At 48.0% G+C, this 21,902-nt stretch overlaps 1 protein-coding gene across 13 annotated transcripts in view; it reads right to left on the bottom strand.

The window, feature by feature from the left end:
• PHAF1 (phagophore assembly factor 1) overlaps positions 1-21,902 on the bottom strand; it is a 38,604-nt gene that overhangs the window by 2,682 nt on the left and 14,020 nt on the right. For 5 of the 13 annotated variants that reach the window (NM_025187.5, NM_001320541.2, NM_001320542.2 and 2 more), the window contains 12 exons: positions 19,821-19,904; positions 14,534-14,577; positions 13,338-13,417; positions 12,952-13,046; positions 11,598-11,695; positions 11,396-11,508; positions 5,746-5,879; positions 5,269-5,352; positions 1,487-1,569; positions 986-1,029; positions 444-487; positions 235-293 (listed from right to left, as the gene is read on the bottom strand). In NM_025187.5, coding sequence (NP_079463.2) covers positions 235-293; positions 444-487; positions 986-1,029; positions 1,487-1,569; positions 5,269-5,352; positions 5,746-5,879; positions 11,396-11,508; positions 11,598-11,695; positions 12,952-13,046; positions 13,338-13,417; positions 14,534-14,577; positions 19,821-19,904 — 962 coding nt within the window. Of the gene's footprint in view, positions 1-234; positions 294-443; positions 488-985; positions 1,030-1,486; positions 1,570-5,268; positions 5,353-5,745; positions 5,880-10,685; positions 11,236-11,395; positions 11,509-11,597; positions 11,696-12,951; positions 13,418-14,533; positions 14,578-19,820; positions 19,905-21,902 lie in introns of those variants that run through there. The other 8 variants (XM_006721284.4, XM_017023729.2, XM_011523350.4 and 5 more) reach the window with 4 other exon arrangements.

Here is a 21,902-nt window from a genome sequence, read left to right as displayed (position 1 = left end):
TAGAGGTAGGCTTGGGAGAGGGGAGCTACCCCTGGGGACATTCTCTCTATCAAAGATGAACACACAGAACAGTTGACTCAGTCCTAATGTGCAGAGTGGGGCAGGAAGTATGCTTGTGGCAATATCAGAAACTTCTGTAATTTTTAAGCAACATCCACTGTGCCAGGCTTCCCTGGGCTTTCTGGGCTCTGAGGAGTCAGGTGGGGTGGCCGGGGACATCAAACTCCCACTCACCTGTGCAGGACAACAGGCTTCTCCACAGGGTGGCCCAGGAGCTCCTGGATGTTGTCCCACTGCAAGAGGGATAGAGGGGAGCAGGGGTTAGTAGGGACATGAACATGTCTGTGACCAATGGCTGGCCTAGAGGACACAGCCCCATACTGCCTGCAGGCTCATGTCCACCTCATTCTCAGGCTATGCCAGGTAGGAAGATAGGTGCTCACCTTGCTGTAGGTCGTGCATGTTTCTGTCTGACCATCTGCGTTTTCTGAAAAGAGAAGACAGTGGGGCAGATTTGTAGCTGGCCCAGCCTACCTGTGGCCCCAGCCCTAGGTAGGAACCAGACCTGGTGTCCCTTTGCACTGGGGTTGGAGTACATGGGGAGGATTAACAGGCTGTTTTGGAGTTCCAGGGTGGAAGAGGATGGAGGGGTGAAGGGAGGTCAGTCAGGTGTGAGCAACAACAATTGGCAGTGGGTGGCAGGCAACAAGGATGGGCTGGGGCCCCCTGGATGATCATCTGTAGATAAGAAACTCTCCCCTCCAGAGGCCGGCAATCCCACAGTCATAGGAAGAGGCCTCAAGGGCCTCTAGGAGACTCAGACCAAGAACACTGCAGCCCCCAGAACAATGAGCCCACCCCAGAGGAACTGAGGCCATGGGCAGAAGCTCCACACATCCAACCACTGCTTCGATCTTTCTCCCTTTTCATAGTGGAAAACAGACTCTAAAACCCCTCCCTTACCCTGAGAGCTTTCACTACTCACCTTTCTTTATGGCTAGTGGGATCTTGAACTCACAGCGATGATAACTAGAGAGAAGGCAAATGGGTAAAGGCTGGGCCTCCTAGAAGGCCTGGCCACTCCCATATTCCAACCCCACACCCCAGGAGAAACAGAACCAAACACACCTGCCCAAAGCCCTGGCTCTGAGTGCCTGACAGTGTTCACTGGGGGAGGCCAGATTTAGGCACGGAAGTCGAACAGAAAAGATCTTGGCCCTGGGTTCTGGAGAGCCTATTACCTTGGATAAGACATCAAGCTTTCTGAACTTATTTCCCTATTTGTAAAATGGGTTCAAACAGAGAGATGTAAGGCATTGGACCCTGTGCCAGGAACACAGCAAGCACTCAGGAAATTCACTTCCCATGAAACAGCAAGAATTCAGGTGTAGATAAATTAGTGAACACCCAAAGCCAAAAGCTCTTTCCTGGGGTTTTCAGCCCAAAACTCACTTCACAGAGGGGAGGTACAGACAGGTGTACTCACATGTTGAAATTATAATGCCCAGGGTAATTGGTGTGTAGAACAAACTTCTTCACTTTGTGTGTATTCGCATCAAAGAGGATGTCCTGGGATAGAAAACAAGGGTACTCAAGGAGGGAATGTTACTGAGGCAGGGCAGAGGCCTTTCCAAAGGCATGTCCAACTTGGGACATCCAGTGCACTCCACAGCAAGAATGCCTGCAGGCATCACCTTTCTTCCAGACAACAGTCCAGGGGACAGGCCAAGCAGCTTTTAGACATTTTCTTTCTTCTTTTTTGAGATGGAGTCTCACTCTGTCATGGAGGCTGGAGTGCAGTGGCACTGTGTCAGCTCACTGTAACCTCTGTCTCCTGGGTTCAAGCAATTCTCCTGCCTCAGCCTCCCGAGTAGCTGGGATTACAGGCGCCCACCACCACGCCTGGCTGTTTTTTTTTTAATTTATTTTTATTTTTAGTAGAGACGGGGTTTCACCATGTTGGCCAGCCTGGTCTCAAACTCCTGACCTCAGGTGATCCGCCCACCTCGGCCTCCCAAAGTGCTGGCATTACAGGTGTGAGCCACCGTGCCTGGCCCCATACCTTATCTTTTCTGTCATGTGTGTTACCTCTCAACACACTGTACTATCCATTTTAGCTCTTTGTCCTGCTAAGTGGCTTTCTTCCCTCTGAATATAAGCTCCGTGAGGGCAGGGTTGTCCGTCTGTGTTCTTCACTGCTGTATCCCGAACTCCTAGAGTAGTGCCTGGCACACAGTAGGTACTCAATAAAGATTTACTGAATAAAGGTGCTTTACAAACTTTCAAGGCAGGTTCCTCTTTACAGATGAGGAAACCAAGGCCCCAGGAGGTGCAGTAAGTCACCTAGCGTGGTGCCCAGATGGTAAGCAGCAGAGCCAAGAGAATCCGAGGATGCAGACTCAGGACTTTGGGAGGCCAAGGCAGGAGGATTCCTTGAGTTGAGAATACAGGTGCACACCACCACGCCCGGCTAATTTTTGTAATTTTAGTGGAGATGGGGGTTTCACCATATTGGTCAGGTTGGTCTCGAACTCCTGACCTCAGGTGATCCACCCACCTTGGCCTCCCAAAGTGCTGGGATTACAGGCGTGAGCCACCATGCTGGCCAAGTCACCTGGTTCTTGAGGGGCTGAAGGCCACTTGACTATTCTGAATTCCACAATCCATCAGACCCTCCTGGCTTCCATTACACCCTCTGTGGGAGTCAGCAACCCCAGGAACTGAAGTTCCAGCCTGACCTCTCTCTAGGACTTGGACCTGGATTTGATGCCACCCAGTGAACACTTCCCTCCTATCCCCTACCCTTTCCAGCTTCATATCCATCCAGCTGCTTGGGCCCGTGACCTCAGGGTAACCTCTGACTCTACCCCTGTACCCACAGCCAACTAAGTCCTACTGAGGCCAGTCCATTCTCTCCATCTTCCCTGTCACCTATTGATGGCAGCAATGGCCCATCTGGAGTGGCCGCTGCAAGGATGCCGACTGGAGCAGAGGAAGTGTGGCCGGGACCTCTGTTTTCCCATAGAACTATGCAGAGCCTATGGGAACTGGGAACAGGTGAGAGCCCTGGCCTCTACTAAGTTGGCAGGGCAGGAGCCCATGCTCCTGGGTGTAGCTGCAGCCTCCCAGCTGCAGCTCCAGACCCTGGCATCCCTGCACTCTCAGGGGCCCAGAAGGCCCCTTGCCCCGGCAGGCTTGAAAGTGCCTGCTCCCACTACCTAGCCTCTCCCCACTCCCGGTGCCTGCTCTGGGGAGGGGCAAAGTTGTGGCTGAGCCCAGGCGCTGTCACGACCTGGTTGGGAGTGCACGCACTCAGGGCAGCACTGACACACTAGCCCCCTGCCGCCTCGGCATGAACAGCATGGGCACCATGGATGGCACGCTGATGGTGGTAGGAAGCAGAAGGGCTCCTGGGCAGAAAGGGCTTGGTCTGAGGTGAAACCCCACCTTCAAGCCTGGGATGGCCTGAGGCCTGGGGGCCGGGCTGCCAGCTCTGGGTAGTCTGTGGGTGGAGTGAGAATTTATGGTGCTTTTTCCGGGCCTGCTCATGGACCAATCAGCATGCACTTCCTCCCTTCTGAGCCCATAAAAACCCTGGATTCAGCCAGACTTGGACAGATGTCAATACTACCAACTGTGGGAAGAAGCTACCCACTTCAGGACTCCTTGACTCCTCAGGATGACCTGCCTACAGAAAGAAGCTACCCACTATGGGTCTTCTCTCTGCTGAGAGCTGGATACTCGTCAGGATGACCTGCCTGCAGAAAGAGCTACCCACCATGGGTCTCCTCTGAACTGTTCTGTTGCCCAATAAAGCTCCTCTCCTTTTTGCTCACCCTCCAGCTGTCTGCATACCTCATTCTTCCTGGCCGCAGGACAAGAACTCGGGACCCACCGAATGGTGGGACTGAAAGAGGTGTAACACAAATAAGGCTGAAATGCCCTGCCCCGCTTTCCACATTGTGGGTGACAAGAAGAGAAGAGCTGCAGCCCTTCAGGAAGCCCAGACCTAGGAGCTCCCCGAGCCAGAGCTGTGACACCCTGTTTGGGGCTCTGTGTGGTTCTTGGTGTCCCCAAGCTTCCGGGTGCCACCGCATTCTCCTTGTCCAGACATGGGTGCCCGCAATGGAAGCCGCTTGCGGTACACGTGATCTAGCCTCACCCTTACGTGGAGCTGGTGCCTATGCTGGCGCCTGGAGCTGCCTGCCCCACCACAGCAGTCAGCATGCCTGGCTGGGCACAGTGGCCGGATGCCACATTCACTCGCTCACACACCCCTTGCCACTCCATGCCTGGCTTGCCCTTGGCAGGCATGGGATCCAGGCTGGTAGCATGAGCTAAGCGCAGCCTGCCAGGCTGAGTGAGCTGAATGAGCCCAGCGGGAGCAAGCAAAAATTGGGGCAAAGGTGCCACCGGCCAAAGTAGTTTCCAGCTGGAAAAGCAACACCCTAAGTTTCTTGAGATACTATCATCACTGGCCCTTGAACCAGAGGTCCAGCTGCAACAGCACTGTTCCCTCCTGCCGCCATCCTACTCTCAGGAGTTCATGACCGGACATCAGCTCCCCTACTACTCTTGGCTCCTGTGTTTGGTCTTTCCCACTTAGGCAGACTCAGTCTCTCCTCACTCCCTCTGTGAAATCTACTGTTTGCTACCTCAGGACCTCAGACCGTAGAAGGCTCAAAGGTTACAAGACCCATGGTCCAGGCCAGCCCTGCCCTCTTGAGATGTTTCCTGCTGAAACACTGTTTATACAATAATTTCTCATGTATGCAACTCACCCACCAGCTGGACTGTCCGCACTGGCCAGCTACCAGCTATATCCAGCTCCCTGGGTCCATAGCACAGGGATACAGCAATGCCTCTGGGGTGGTCCTCTAAAAATATACAAGCACACCCCACTGTCTCCAATCCTTTTCAGTCTCCATTTTGTGACTCAAGAAGAGGGTCCTATGCTTTACAAAAGGGCAGCTCTCCAAACAGCTTAATCTGAATGATTTCCAAGGCCTCCATCTGTGGAACATGTTTCCCTCAGAAAAGAAGTCAACAGGTACCAGGGAACCTAGTGTTCCTGAGCAATCCTGGTTGCAGGCAAGGTCTACTTTGGAGTACCAGAGCCTATGCAAAACAACCCTGGGCAAAGACAGCTGGGGCTAGGTTCCCCAATGTCCAGGCATGGTTCCAGCTGCATGTGGACACACAGATCTGCAAAGATGCACTGCCCACCCCAATAGAAATGAAGGGCTTCTCTGAGGAATCACAACTTACCACTCCAAGAGTGAAGTAGTTAAAAAAGTAGTCATTACACTTCGATGGAACTTGTTTATGAGGGGAAGGAGAATGAATTTTCATCTGTAGGGAAAAAATAACCATAAATTAAAATCCATCCCTCTAATATAGTTCTGGATTAACTGAAAGTCTACAAATTGTGTTCCATGTGTAACATTAAGCTGCGGAACAAGCAAGAGTGGGGAGTCTCAGCTGCTGGTGCTGACCAATCTAGGAGGAGAGGGGGCCAGCTGTCGTTGACTAGGGACTGTCTTGGTCTCTAAGGAAAGGTAGGCACTATGGAGAGGGACAGAGTCAGGGTAATTGGACTACAGGGGTTAGAAAACAGTTTTCAATTTACTTTACCATTAGCTTTACTTAGAACAAGTTCTATGGGAAAATAGCAAACAGTTTATACTCAATATTAAATTAGTGTTGATTAAAAAAAAGGAGGAGACTGCAACATAATTCCCCTACCTTGTCTTCTGATTTATAGAAGACTTTGTGTGGAGAGCCAAGCATGCTAAGAACATCTTGGCAGGAATCACCAAAATACACTGAACGTTCAAATACCCGCATCTTGGCATCTGCTAATAGGCCAGGTCCACAACCTGCAAAAAACAAGACAGAGAGGTTGTCAGGTTATGGTTAGGACCAGAGACCCTCTCTGGGGGCCCCAGAGAAGCTACTGGCTGCATGCTACATTATTAGGTCTGGCAAGGGGCAAGACTGCATGCAATCAGAAACATCAGGTCACCAGGGCTTAAGACTGTACAAGAGATCGCTATTCAAAATAATGCCAGGGACTTATTCAATCCCCCACATGTGACATGAAGCTCTGGATACTTCATTCACTTATTCATTCACTACTTTATTGCCTACCATGGGCTAGGACATTGTGCTAGATGTTGAAGAAACAAAAGTGAACAAAAACAGTGCAGTTTCTGGCCAGACGTGGTGGCTCACGCCTATAATCCCAGCACTTTGGGAGGCCAAGGCGGATGGGTTGTTTGAGCTCAGAGTTTGACACCAGCCTGGGCAACATGGTGATACTCCGTCTCTACAAAAACATACAAAAATTAGCTGGGCATGGTGGTGGGTGTCTGTAGTCCCATCTACTTGGAAGGGTGAGGTGGGAGGATCACTTGAGCCCAGGAGGCAGAGGTTGCAGTGAGCCAAGATCACACCACTGCACTCTAGCCTGGGTGACAGACTGAGACAGTCTCAAAAAAAAAAAAAAAAAAAAAAAAAGGCAGTGCTGTTTTTTCTCCATAAGCTCCATCACTGGAGCTTATGTGTGCTGGAGAAGACCTTAATCAGATCATCACACAACTATGGTAAGATGCAAGGATTTATGTTAAGAGGTACTTCTTGGCCGGGTGTGGTGGCTCTTGCCTATGATCCCAGCACTTTGGGAGGCCAAGCGGGGTGAACTGCTTGAGCTCAGGCGTTCAAGACCAGCCTGGGCAACATGGTGAAACCCTGGCTCTACAAAATATAATATAAAAATTAGCCAGGCGTGGTGGCACACTCCTGCAGTCCTAGCTACTTGGGAGGCTAAGGTGGGAGGATCACTTGAGCCCAGGAGGCAGAGACTGCAGTGAGCTAAGATCACACCACTGCATTCCAGCCTGGGTGACAGAGTGAGACACTGTCTTAAAAAAAAACTACAAAAGTACTCTCAATGGTAACCCCTAACCAGAGACACTGAACCTGTAAAACTGCTCTATCAACAAGTAGAGTGAAGCATGCATTACTTGTCTCCCTAATTCTACACAAACACCTGACAGAGCCCTCCAACCCAGACAAGAGCCATTATCACTCAAAAGGGACAAACCAGCTAAGTGGAGGAATAAAAGACCTTCTGATTTGCCAAAAGTTTATTCTTTGGGAAGAATCTTTAAGCTCTGACTTTTTCTAATAAAACATTTCAGAAATGATTACAGTTAATGACACACACACAAACACACAAATGTAGAAGTGGTTGTGGCACAGTAATAGATACACCAACAGTAAAAATTTCCCCATTTTGTGGAGGGGGAGACAAGGTTTTTGCTCCCACCACCCAGCAAAAAAAAAAAGGAAGCCAAGAATCTGAGAAGGATTGTAATTCTTGGTGCCATGATAATCACTGACACCATCTTACTCAGCACAAGGCTTTACAGTTGTCAAAGTTCTCTCATGTGTAACAATCCATTTTTTATATGCAGAAGCTTCAGAGAACCCAAATCTGAAATAACTAAATACTGAGTTCAACTAACCCAAGAATCTCTATTCTCAGCAAGTATACACTGAGGGGGAAATAAAGGCTTAGGCAAGCCTTGGGTGACCTATAGAACCCACCAAAAGTCCTGTCAAGCTGGACTCTGGGCCCAAAGTATCCAGTGGCCTAACACATTTCTTCAGGCACCAGATACGTGTGGATGTCAGATGGGGGCTGTAAGGAAGGCACCCTTCAAAGGTAAGTCTTCTGTCTCCCTCTGCTTGAAGTATATCCAGGTATAATTACTAAGAGTTTCAGCTACTTTTTAGATTGTGATTCCCCAAAGTGTATCTTTCTACAAATTATTGTGGAGACCAGATGGCTGAACTGACTCCCTGCATTAAAAGCATCACTGCAGCCATATTCCATAAGGAAGGATATGAGAAATGAGTGGGTTGAGAAACTTGTGCTTGCCACAGGAAACTCTCAGTGAAGACGATAACCCTTTGAGGCCCTGACTTAACAAATCATTTGCCCTGCTGACAGTGTAAGCAGTGAGCAGTGTGACTGCTGGGAATGTGCTGTACAAGGTGGCAGACATAATTGGCTGAGAGCCCACCCTCGACAGGCTCCTCCTGCTGTCTCCTGGGATGATTAATGACCCTGATCCTTGACCACCCTGCTGTTTCAAGCAGTGATCCTCTTGGGAAAAAACCACACTAAATCACTTGACTTTGCTGCCACATCTCAATTCTCTCAAAAACTATAGCTCAGGCTGGGTGCGGTGGCTCACACCTGTAATCCCAGCACTTTGGGAGGTTGAGGCGGGCGGATCACTTGATGTCAGGAGTTTGAGACCAGCCTGGTCAATATGGTGAAACCCCATCTCTACTAAAAATACAGAAATTAGCCTGGCGTGGTGGCACACGTCTGTAATCCCAGATACTTGGGAGGCTGAGGCATGAGAATCGCTTTAACCCAGGAGGCAGAGGTTGCAGTGAGCTGAGATCACACCACTGCACTCTAGCCTGGACAACACAGCAAGACTCTGTCAAAAAACAACAACAACAAAAAACCCCAAAACCATAGCTTAAGCATGACACTCCTTTAAGTGGTTGTTCTGTCTTGGCTAGAAAATCACATTTTAAGAAATTCGTAACGTGAAGGTTGTGAACTGTCTAACTGTTCACAGAAGTGGGCTCAGAGTTCATATACCAGATTCTTTTTTTTTTTTTTTGAGAAGGAGTCTTGCTCTGTCGCTCAGGCTGGAGCGCGGTGGCGCTATCTCGGCTCACTGCAAGCTCCACCTCCTGGGTTCACGCCATTCTCCTGCCTCAGCCTCCCGAGTAGCTGGAACTACAGGCGCCTGCCACCATGCCTGGCTAATTTTTTCTATTTTTTAGTAGAGATGGGGTTTCACCGTTAGTCAGGATGGTCTCAATCTCCTGACCTCGTGATCCGCCCACCTCGGCCTCCCAAAGTGCTGGGATTATAGGCGTGAGCCACTGTGTCCAGCCTATATACCAGATTCTTAATAATTAAGAACCATTTGGGAGGCTGAGGTGGGACGACCGCTTAAGGCTAGGAGTTTGAGACCAGCCTGGGCAACATAGGGAGACCACGTGTCTACAAAAAAATAGAATTAGCTGGGTGTGGTGGTGTGCACCTGTAGTCCCAGTTTCTTCGGAGGCTGAGGCAGAAGGATTCCTTGTGCCCAGGAGTTCAAGGCTGCACTTAGCTATGATGATGCCACTGCATTCCAGCCTGGGTGACAGAGGGAGACCATGTCTCAAAGAAAGAAAAAAGAAGCAAAAAAAAAAAAAAAAAAAAAAAAAAAGGAATCAATGCCTCAGAGACTGATGCAGGAACCCAATTTACGAATAAATGCTGGTTAGGCAATGAGCTCCACGAAGGTTCTCAGCTCTCTTTATGGGAACAAACTCCACGCTGAAGCTCCCAGTCCCGTTAAGCACGATCCACAACCCAAAGCAGCTGAAGTTGGCCAGGCATGGGAATGTCACAAAATGAGGCATGGATCCTGGAGGGACCAGCTACTGAAGGTGGCACTCTTTTTTTTTTTTTTCTGTGAGAAGGAGTTTCGCTCTTGTTGCCCAGGCTCCAGTGCAATGGCGCTATCTCAGCTCACTGCAACCTCCGCCTCCTGAGTTCAAGCGATTCTCCTGTCTCAGCCTCCTGAGTAGCTGGGAGTACAGGCGTGCTTTACCACGCCCAGCTAATTTTTGTATTTTTAGCAGAGATGGGGTTTCATCATATTGGTCAGGCTGGTCTTGAACTCCTGACCTCAGGTAATCCACCCGCTTTGGCCTCCCAAAGTGCTGGGATTACAGGCATGAGCCACTGCACCCGGCCAACTATTTCTTTTTGTTGTTGTTGTTCATGGTTGGCAAAACTCTGGCCAAGGTGTGGCCAAACCACAATTCAACAAGTCCCGTCTGCTTGCCTACGTTGAGAACTTGGCATAAAGGGTAGAAAAAGGAGAGCCAGGCATGGTGGTGCGTGCCTGTAGCCTAGTCAGGAGGTTAAGGCAGGATTGCTTGAGCCCAGGAGTTCAAGGCCACAGTATTCCAATGCACACCGGCCTGGATAATATAGGGAGAAAAGCTGGGTGTAGCGGCTTGCACCTGTAATACCAGCACTTTGGAAAGCCAAGGAGGGAGGATCGATTGAGCCCAGGAGTTCAAGATCATTCTGGGTAACACAGCAAGACCCATCTCCACATAGACAAAAATTAACTGGGCATGGTAGCACATGCCTGTGGTCCTAGCTACTTGGGAGGCTTAGGTGAGATCACTTGAGCCCAGGAGTTTTGAGGCTGCAGTGAGCTATGATTGCACCACTGCACTACAGCCTGGATGACAGAATGAGGCCATCTCTTACAAAACAAAACAAAACAAAACAAAAAAAGGTAGAAAAAAGGGGAGAGCTGGCCAGGTGCGGTGGCTCACGCCTGTAATCCCAGCACTTTGGGAGGCCGAGGTGGGCGGATCATGAGGTCAGGAGTTCCAGACCAGCCTGAACAACATGGTGAAACCCTGTCTCTACTAAAAATACAAAAATTAGCCGGGTGTGCTAATGCGTGCCTGTAATCCCAGCTACTTGGGAGGCTGAGGCAGGAGAATCACTTGAACCTGGGAGGCAGAGGGTGCAGTAAGCTGAGATCGTGCCACTGCACTCCAGCCTCAGCAACAGAGTAAGACTCTGTCTCAAAAAAAAGAAAAAGAAAAAAACAAAAAAGGGGAGAGCAGTAGCACTGCAACCCACAGGATGCATCTCCAGGAAACACTTGGGAACTGTCACAAAGCTATATAAGCACACAGCAGGCCTATGTGCATGCTGAGAGAAGCAGTGCTGTTGCTTATTAAGATTTGCTAATTATAAGACTATGTCCAGTCCCTTGACAAAACTAAACAAAAGCTTTAACCATAAACATCTGCATCATTTGTCTTCTACCAACTATGTGGCAATGGACTGAATGCTTTTGTTCCCCTAAAATTCATATGTTGAAATCCTAACCACCAAGGTGATGGTATTAGAAGGTCAGGGCTTTGGGAGGTGATTACATTATGGAAGCAGAGACCTCAGGATTGAGATCAGTGCCGTTAAAAAACAGACTCCAGGGAGTTAACTAGCCCCTTGCACCATATGAGGATACGGGGAGAAGTTTCTTCTATGAACTAGACTGCAGGCGCATCCAGATACTGAATCTGCCAGTGCCTTGATCTTGGACTTCCCAGCCTCCAGAACTGCAAGAAATAAATTTTTGTTGTTTAGCAGCCACTCAGTTTATGGTATTTTATTATAGCAGCCTGAATGGACTGAGACACACCCTAAGCACGTGGGATTTTAGACTGTCTCAACATGGGTATAATGCGGAATGTACCAACCTCAAAGCCAGTCACTGACCTGCAGCAAGTAGGCGAAGTCGTAAACCTGCAGGTCCAGTTCCATCTCGAAGAACATCTACACTCTCAGCATAGACATTGCCCAGGAAACAGCTCAGAGGCATCATGGGAGCCCTGGGGACAGACACAGAATGAGCAGAGGCTTGGTTCTTTCTCCCAGGCAGCCCAGGCCTTAGCAAGAAACTCATGCTCCTTATACTTACTTGGTATCCTGCAGGCTGTTGCCACTGTAGATGTACATTCGTTTTACAGTTGCTCCATGGGGTATCTGGAGAGAAGCCAGGCCATGGGCAAAATTGGGCTGCAAACAAAGGTCAAGAGTTTTACTTAGGGCACAACAGGTGATGGGACTCAGGCTCTGGTCTTCCCTGTCACTCATGGTCTTCAAGAGCTGCTCAGGTCAAAGGGTCAAAGTACACCCTTAAACCTGGCTCTCTGGCTCTGGGTCAGTAAACTCCCCAAAACCATGTAAGTCCACCTTTAATTCTGCTTGGTTTTCCTTTTCTTTTTTTTTCTTTTTTTTTGAGACGGAGTCTCACTCTGTCACCCAGGTTGGAGTACAGTGGCATGATCTCAGCTCACTGCAACCTCCACCTCCCAGGTTCAAGTGATTCTCCTGCCTCAGCTTCCTGAGTAGCTGGGACTACAAGTGTGCACCACCACAACCAGCTAATTTTTTTTTTTTTTTTGAGACGGAGTCTCGCTCTGTCGCCCAGGCTAGAGTGCAGTGGCATGATCTCGGCTCACTGCAAGCTCCGCCTCCCGGGTTCACGCCATTCTCCTGCCTCAGCCTCCCAAGTAGCTGGGACTACAGGCACCCGCCACCACACCCAGCTAAATTTTTTGTATTTTTAATAGAGACGGGGTTTCACCATGTTAGCCAGGAGGCCCGCCTCGGCCTCCCAAAGTGCTGGGATTACAAGCGTGAGCCACTGCGCCCGGCCTGTTTTTTTTTTTTTTTTTTTTTAATATTTTTGGTAGAGACAGGGTTTCACCATGTTGGCCAACGTGGTCTCGAACTCCTGACCTCAAGTCATCCGCCCGCCTTGGCCTCCCAAAGTGCTGGGATTAGAAGCATGAGCCACCATGCCCGGTCAGTTTTCCTTTTCTTCATAGGGGAAAATGCAGAAATGCTTCCTTAATTAAAATAAGTCTTATGAAAGCTTATCATTTTCACAGCCCCTAGGATGAATGAAATGTTTGCAAAAACAAAGGTAACTGAAAATCCAGAGGATGAAATCTCCAAATTCTAGGCCACCAGGAAAACTGTTGATTAGGAGCTTGAAAATAAGGAATGAATGAACTTATCTCTGAAAAGTGAGCCTGACCTCACTCCATTGTGGGAAGTATCCTCTTCCTCGGAATGCCAGCCTGAGCATTGTTCTTCCTCTGTCAACCCACCCACTCTACCACTTTACCCTGTAGAGCTCAAATACATGGAAACCAAAGAAAGTCTGCCTATCTAATACCCACTCCTCTATTCCCATCCCATGACACCATCTGCTGAGCCATACCACAGACACATACAACAAACACCAGGGGACAGGAAGGGCTAACCTCATACTTTGGAGCCTCAGTCCATGAGTCTAACTGAAAAGAGAAAGACAGTCCTCTGAAGTTGAGATGGAAGAGCTGCTCAGCGGAGTTGTACACTGTTGGGGGTGGGGGAGAAGAAAATAACATGGTTGACTGGCATCTGAAATGGCTAACATAAACCAGCCTGGCAGGGAGTAATGACTGACAACACCTTCCCTGTGGCTTGTTTCTAAACTGGCCTACTAGGTTGAAAACAAGGGGGAGGATGTTTCCTTCACACCCAAGTACCAACCCCACAATCCTATGGGAGCCTGACTCCAGGAAGTGGGGTGGGATGGCACTACCGGGCAGGTTTATTGCTATGAACTGCCACTGATGACCAGAGGAATCAGATGGACTTGGCTTACCTCCAGGATGGGTTGCGCCAAAAGACTGGTCAATCTGTTCAATGGTAGGAGCTATGGCCTGAGAATTAAAATGCACGCCACTGAAAAACAAAAATATTTTTTAATACTAGGCTTCACAAGATGGGCCCACAGATCATGTGAGATAGTAGCTGGGAGAGTTATTTTTAAGACACAGGCAGGTGAGTCTCTAATTATATCAAAATACAAAGCTTAATTAGAGAACTTTTAAATAAGAGCATTAATGAGGTCAGGAGAAGGTCAGTTCTCATGAGGCTGATATACAGAGTTGATCCTCTGGGGCTTTATGACACCAGTGACTCTTAAGAAAAGGGTAGAGAAGAGAAGCCACCAGACCCTGAGGTATGAAGGCCCCAGTAAAACTAAAAGACAACTAGAACCTGCAGGGGCCAGTGGTACCACACATTTGCTTGTCTACTCCTCTATCAGCAAAACTGCCTGAGCCTGCCCCAGGAATCAGGTCCTCTTCACACCCTCAAAAAGGGAAAGGGAAGCCAGTTAAGGAGACTTACTGAAAGGAGTATTCTATCGCTTGAACCCAGGAGGTGGAGGTTACAGTGAGCTGAGATGGCGCCACTGCACACCAGCCTGGGTGACAGAGAGAGACTCCGTCTCAAAAAAAAAAAAGAAAGAAAGAAAGAAAGGAAGGAGTATTCTAGATTTTTAGATGCAGGCATGCTGCCTTGCCATAATGGGGGCGCAACAACTTTGGACTGTGCATGTCATCCCCGCTGTAATTCTAAAAAATACATTATAGCTCTAAAATGGTGGTCTCTTTGGCATTCTCTTCAGCATAGGCTTTGGAGTCAGACCTATCTGGTTTGTCCCACCTCTGTTACTCATGAAAACATGAAAAGAGGTGCCAAGAGAGGCTGTCAGCGGGAGGGCAGCTATGACCCAGGAGACTGTCACATCACCTCTGAGCTGAGGTCTGGCTTTGTCAAGTGGATTAAGTTAGATGACATATACATGAAGTGTTAAACACATCACATATTCTTAATGAGGTTTACTTCTCTTCTCCAGGAAACTGAGCAGGCTTGAAGGTTGCCTCAGGAATTCATGGCACCAGGCTATAATTCACATCTGTGACAGATGTGAATCTTTACTAACTTATGAAGATAGTAGATATGGCCTGTCTATACCAAGTGTGACATATACCAGCAGGGGAGAAAACTTACCAATATTTTAACTTTACTTTAGTCAAATCACATACTTCGATCACCTAAAAAAAAGTTTAAGAGTTGTCAATGCTCTGAAAGTGATGACAGACTAAAAATGATTAAAAATACATTTATAGAATAAATAGTAAAAAAAAAAAAAAAAAAAACTATTACCAATAGAAATTTTATGGAAGCACTGCATGTTATCTTTTGTTCTCATTTAAAATTTTTTTAAAAACTTTTTGTAGAGATAGAATCTTAGCAAAACTAAAAAACTATGTTGCCCAGGCTGGTCTCAAACTCCTGGGCTCAAATGATCCTCCTGTCTTAGCCTCCCAAAGTGCTGGGATTACAAGCATGAGCCACCATGACAGTCCTTTGTTATTTTGAAACCAGGGAAAAAACCAGTTTCCCCTTCAGCATAACCATAGCCAGTGTCCCCTTCAGCATAACCTCTTAGCTTCCCTCTCCTAGTGGACTGCTCAACAGATGTCCATGGATGCTCTGGGTCAAGGCTCTTACATGCAGTCCACTTCTGGGTCAGGCTGGAGCACACACCACCCTATAGGACAATGATCTCTTCCACAGACATGAAGCTTGTTAAGGCTCTGCTTTGGGCACTAAGCCCCCTTCCTCCCATCTCATATTTTGCTGCATTTTAAAACCCAGGTCGGGTTGCTTTAGAAAATAGCTTATTTTAGCCGGGCACGGTGGCTCACGCCTATAATCCCAGCACTTTGGGAGGCCCAGGTAGGTGGATCTCCTGAGGTCAGGAGTTCCAGACCAGCCTGACCAACATGGTGAAATCCTGTCTCTACCAAAAATACAAAAATTAGCTGGGCGTGGTGGCACACACCTGTAATCCCAGCTACTGTGGAGGCTGAGGCAGGAGAACCGCTTGAACCCAGGAGTTGGAGGTAGCAGTGAGCTGAGATTGCGCCACTGCACTCCAGCCTGGGTGACAGAGCGAGACTCCGTCTCAAAAAAAAAAAAAAAAAAAAGGCCGGGCACGGTGGCTCACGCCTATAATCCCAGCACTTTGGGAGGCCGAGGCGGGCGGATCACAAGGTCAGGAGATTGAGACCATCCTGGCTAACACGGTGAAACCGTGTCTCTACTGAAAAATACAAAAAATTAGCCAGGCGTGGTGGTGGGCGCCTGTAGTCCCAGCTACTGAGGAGGCTGAGGCAGGAGAATGGCGTGAACCCGGGAGGCAGAGCTTGCAGTGAGCGGAGATTGCGCCACTGCACCCCAGCCTGGGCGACAGAGCGAGACTCCTCCAAAAGAAAGAAAGAAAGAAAGAAAATAGCTTATTTTGAAGTTGATTTTGTTTACAAAACAAAAAGATGGAGGGGGAGGTCTATCCCATTAGAAAGCAAGCCATAATATTTGTCACACAAGTGTGACAGTATTCAGTTATGTCCCTGATGAAGAGGATCTGGTTGAAACAAGAAAGCCTCAGGACCTTTGTGAAGCTTGCTCTTTAATGGGTTCAGCCTCAGATGAAATTCTAAGAACTCAGGGCAGGGCAGAGATAAAGGAATAGGCATCACCTAACACTCCGCCATCAGTGGTGCCAAGTAATAAGCACTATGAAGTCCTCCATGCAATGGTGTCAAGGGCTTGGCAGCCAGCAGCACAGGTAGGGGCTCGGAGCACCATCTACCATCCTCCAGCTGGGAGGTTTTGCTCTCATTGTGGAGACACAAGCAGAGCTGGCTCAATATCTGTTTGTCCTGCCAATCTGAGCCTGATTGTGGAAGAGGCTGTGGGGCATTGTATGCAGGAACATCTGGCACTGCCAAAGAAACTGAGACATAATAGATAGTAGGTTCGCTTTTGGCCAGAGACCCTATCCCTAACTTTATTTAGAGACCACAACACTGAACCAAATTGGATACCTCTTGACTATAATGTAGCTCTTTTGATCCTATCTGCTAGAAAGAACTGCTCCCTCTGCTAGGCCGTCACAGCACTGGAATGAATCCTTTCCTCCATACTTGTGTATTCTGTTAAGTGGTCCAATAAGTTAAGCCCCTTGAGGGACTCATTAATTTGCATAGGGAAGGTGTTCAATTCATGTTAGGCAATTCTGCCTGGTATGAAGCTTGAAAGCATGAAAAGAAGTGCCAGGAGGGGCTGTGGAAGGAAGGGCAGGGGAACAGCTATGATTCAGAAGATAGCCAGTGTCCCCTTCAGAATATCTGGGCATGGGAATATATCATGCCAAACTGGCATGCCATTTCACTGAGGCCAGAGCCTTGTCTAGCAGAGAGCCTCTACCTTCAGCCAGAAGCCCTCCTGTTCATAGCAGGCACAGGCACTCACCTCCCTCACTTCTATCCCTACAGCTGGCCAGTCATCCCCCAAAGCTTCCCACCACCCGCCCTGTGGAAGTGAGCCTGCACGATGTTCCTCCTGTATCACTGGCACCCCACCTGCCAACAGCTATACGGGTCCAACACATATAGGTGCTTCGACCCTGCCTGATCAATGGGAAAACAGTGGACCAGAGCTAATCACAGGGCACGAAGCAGCACTTGTGGCAATGGACCCAGAGTGCTGGCCATCCTGGAGTCCTTCATGTCACTAGGAGCATCAATAAGCAGATTTCATCTCTTGGAGCTTGCTGCACTACAGGGACAAGCAGCTGGGAAGGCTAAAGCCCATGATTTTCCATCTCTGGGCTACAGAAGCTCCTGATTTCCCCAGAGGGGAAGAGATGTGGCAGCAGCCAAGATAAAAATGGAAAAGACAGGTGGCTGTAAAGGTTGTGACTTATAAAGCCTCATTCCACAGGGCTGTCTCTCTTAGGCTTGAGGCAGGGGGTGGGAAGCAACTATAGGAGGCAGCATCAGAAGAGGTGGATTCTGAAGGTGTTGGATGGAAGGGCAGGAAGATAGGTCAGGTCAGGCTGGTGCCAATCAAAAACACCTGGGTGATTACTTGCTCAGTTTCCAGAAGACTCAGGCAGGACCCCAGTCTCTCCTTCATGGGGATCCCACAGAAGGCAGAAGAGGATTGCCGGTTTGATTTTATCTCCTTTCCTATCCAAAGGTACCTCCCATTCCTCATATTTCTGTACATTTCTTCAGCTTTTCTTATTTATTTCCCAGATCCATCAACAGAGCCTAAGTGGTCAGCCACCACATATTGCCAATATCCAGTTAAAAGCCTGGCATCAGGTAGACTACTTATCCTCTCTGTCCCTCGGTTTTCTTGCTAGTAAACAGTACCTACTTCACAGGCGGGTTAGGATTAAACTAGAAAACGCATGTGAAACACCCAGCCATGTGCCTAGCATATACTAAGCACTCACTAAACATATGACATTGTCTTCACCATGCTGTGATTTTATGGGCTGCTGGACATCCCTTTTGTTGCCCATTTAGGTTACTTCCAGCTTCTCATTACCATGAAATACCGTTACCTTCCCCCAGTGTTTCTGGGTTACATTTTCTAAAGTGGACTTTTACCAAGTCAAAGGGAAATGACTACTTGTAAAGAAATTTCCATGTTACCAGATTAATTTCCCCCCAATTTTTTTTTTTTGAGACGGAGTCTTGCTCTGTTGCCCAGGCTGGAGTGCAGTGGTGCGATCTCAGCTCACTGCAAACTCTGCCTCCCGGGTTCACGCCATTCTCCTGCCTCAGCCTCCCAAGTAGCTGGGACTACAGGCGCCTGCCACCATGCCCAGCTAATTTTTTGTATTTTTAGTAGAGACGGGGTTTCACCGTGTTAGCCAGGATGGTCTCGATCTCCTGACCTCGTGATCCACCCGCCTCAGCCTCCCAAAGTGCTGGGATTACAGGCGTGAGCCACTGCACCCGGCTCCAATTTGTGATTATGCGATATTGAAGATCATCCTCTGCCCTTTCCCAGTGTGGAACTTCTGGCCATGGAGACAGGATAGAATGAGGAATTCTAATTCCACATACTGATTCTCTTTCCATGTTTTGTTTTCTCTCCTTAGCAGTTCACTTGTGACAAGGATGATGAGAACTGGTAAGTACCCAAGTCTTTTGGAAAGGCTACTCCATAACCCAAGAAGGACAACAACTCTGGCATGCCACTGCCCAGGGCCCATCCAACCTCATGACTTTGAGGCATGACTCTGGTGTCACATGACTAACCTGTGAGGCCCAGGCATTTGTAAACAGGGTATATCAAAAACAGACTGAACTGGGTGCGGTGGCTCATGCCTGTAATCCCAGCACTTTGGGAGGCCGAGGCGGGCGGATCACGAGGTCAAGAGATCAAGACCAGCCTGGCCAACATGGTGAAACAAAAAATTAGCTGGGCGTAGTGGCACGCACCTGTAGTCCCAGCTACTGAGGAGGCTGAGGCAGGAGAATTGCTTAAACCCGGGAGGCAGAGGTTGCAGTGAGCCAAGATTGCACCACTTCACGCCAGCCTGGGTGACACAGTGAGACTCTGTCTCAAAAAAAAAAAAAAGACTGGGCTGGTCATGGTGGCTCACGCCTGTAATCCCAGCACTTTGGGAGGCTGTGGTGGGCGGATCACAAGGTCAGGAGTTCGAAAACAGCCTGGTCAACATGGTAAAACCCCATCTCTACTAAAAATACAAAAATTTAGCTGGGCGTGGTGGCGTGCACCTGTAGTCCCAGCTACTCAGGAGGCTGAGGCAGAAGAATCGCTTGAACCCAGGAGGTGGCAGTGAGCCAAGATCAAGCCACTGCACTCCAGCCTGGGTGACAGAGCTAGACCTCATCTCAAAAAAAAAAAAAAAAACCAAAAACAAAAACAAAGAAAACCAGACTGGACTCAAACAGGTGTTAGCAAATTGCACTCAAATGCCAATTAAGATAGCCCTACATATTAGTAAGTTGTTTTTTTACATTTCCTCCCCAGGGTTAAAGAATCAACTCATTGCTGGTATTGTTAACCCAAGCCCCAGCATTCTAGGAAGAACAGTTTCCATTTTCTAACCAAGTTACAGTGTTTGACAAAAGAATGAAGTAAAACTATCTTGTTTTCCTACTGGACATGAAAGCCCCCTCCCCACAGCATGTTTCCCAAATCTTCAACACTCTTTCACCTTCCCCTCTGGAGCCTGGGAAAGCAGCCCTTCCCAGCCTCTTTCTGACCATCCCAACCCACTTCCATCTTCCCTCTTTTTAGGGGAACAGGCACAGCTTCAGTTCCCTACATTGTAGTGATCTCTGAACCAAAGAAGTCCACACCTACTTATAAGTTTTGAAACATCTCACAATAGCACATACTAATTAGCTCCAGAAAGACTGGCCCAGCTGGACATGAAACATTAGTTGTCATTTATAGTTACCTTAAGTCTCTGATTGAAAGCATCAAACATTAGTTTGATCCCGTCCTGAGTCAGGTTAAGAATGAGGTCATGGCTTAGAGGAGACTACAAAACAAAAATAAAATACATTCTGAGTAACTGATTTATTCACTAAGCACCTACTGAAAGCCTTACAATACAAATGCAACACACAAGGAATATCTAAGTGCAGACAGTCCCTCTCTCCTCCAGCTAATGGTGCTTGGAAACCAGAAAAAAACTGCTGCATGAACATATGGTGTTTTTTACTTCTAGCCTGCAGCTGCTGTTTCTTAATATCGGCTGAAAAGAGCCTCTCCCTTCTGGGCTTGAGTAAAAATACCTGGGGAAAAGGGACAAAGTTATATGAGTATACAGGTCATTCTCCTTTCAGGCTCCAGGGTCCACATCTGCAAAATGAAGTTCACTGCCATCGAACCTACAGAGCAGTTGGTGAGGAATACAGGTCATGTGAAAAGGCCTAGTCCAGGATCTAAACTCAGCAGATATTGCTTATGCCTATCAGCTGAACCTACATCCATTCACACTCAGGCTGTTTGTACCATCCACAGGGAACACATTTTTATTCTTTGATGGTTTAGATCAAATTCTAGGACAAAGAAATATATTGTGATCTGATTATGAGATGACCCTCTTATCCTTTTTCTCTCTCCCCCCAGCCTCCCATCCCATTTCATTTGTGCTTCTTCCTGAAAAGCCGAAGTCTAAGATCTAAAGAGTCATATTTCTGCATTTGCCCCTTCTGAATCCTGGGGGAGGGGAGTAGCAGAACAAAGCAGTGGACAGAACCCTGGTGACCTTAGGTAACTCTCAAAACTTCTCTGAGCTCTGGTTTCTTCATGGGAATACTTTCATCCCTTCCCTCCAGGGTTGTTATGAGGACAGAGATAGTAGGTCAGAAAGCATCTAGCCCAATACCTGGCACACAGCACTCTCCTCTTGTGTCTGCCCCATCTGCATGCTTCTGGTCCAATGCAATTAATTCAAGGATTCAATGTCTGAAGATTCTCCACAGCCCTGATTGAGGCTGCCCAATAGTAGAAGGAAAAACACCATCTAAAACCCCACCCTTCTTTAACACATGGCTGCTCAAAAGGTTTAGTTACTTTTTTTTTTTTTTTTTGGATGAAGTCTCTCTCTGTTGCCCAGGCTGGAGTGCGGTGGCACAATCTTGGCTCACTGCAACCTCCACCTCCTGGGTTCACACCATTCTCCTGCCTCAGCCTCCCGAGTAGCTGGGACTACAGGCGCCCGCCACCACGCCCGGCTGACTTTTTGTATTTTTAGTACAGATGGGGTTTCACCGTGTTAGCCAGGATGGTCTTGATCTCCTGACCTCGTGATCCATCTCCTGACCTCGTGATCCATCTGCCTCAGCCTCCCAAAGTGGTGGGATTACAGGCGTGAGCCACTGTGCTCGGCCAAAGGTTTAGTTTCTTTATAGAGCTTCTCAAGTTAGACAAAGTGAATGATGGAGATATGGCTATCAGAGACAGACATAGGCTGGAAGGCCATAAGCCACTGCTGGTGTTGGCCTCATTGGAGAAATTCTCTCCTAAGAGTCTTTTGGGATTAGGGCAGGTTGCTTCCTTCCAACCCATTGATCCCCACAAAGCAGCAGGCCCAGATAGTACCATCATGCTTGGCAAAAACTAAAGGAAGAATGTTGTATTTGCTAGTAGGTCTATATGAATGTCTAAACCATTAGGTCTCAAGCAAGATAATGGAACAATGAACTATGACCTTGGATTACCAGTATCAACCCAGAACACAAAGTTCCATTTTGGAGAGAGCCATTCCATGGAATAAGCAGAGTGAAGCAACATTTTAGTCTCTTTCAGGAATCTTGCTTGGAGGAGGCATGTGCCAGGATCTGGATTTTCCTATACTTTCCCAAGATCTGATCTTTTTTTTTTTTCCTGGCATTGTTATAATTCAGGATATAACCTAGCAATTTTCAAAAGCAATCAAATTACTCTCAGAGTCAATGTTTTATTAATACTTTATATCTCTAAAACCAAAATACACATGCACTATGTGGTATTTAAGCAGGTTCTTCCAGTA

This window comes from Homo sapiens, chromosome 16 (genome assembly GCF_000001405.40).
Source record: "Homo sapiens chromosome 16, GRCh38.p14 Primary Assembly".
Lineage (NCBI taxonomy): Eukaryota > Metazoa > Chordata > Mammalia > Primates > Hominidae > Homo > Homo sapiens.
This window is presented reverse-complemented; position numbering and strand designations above follow the sequence as displayed.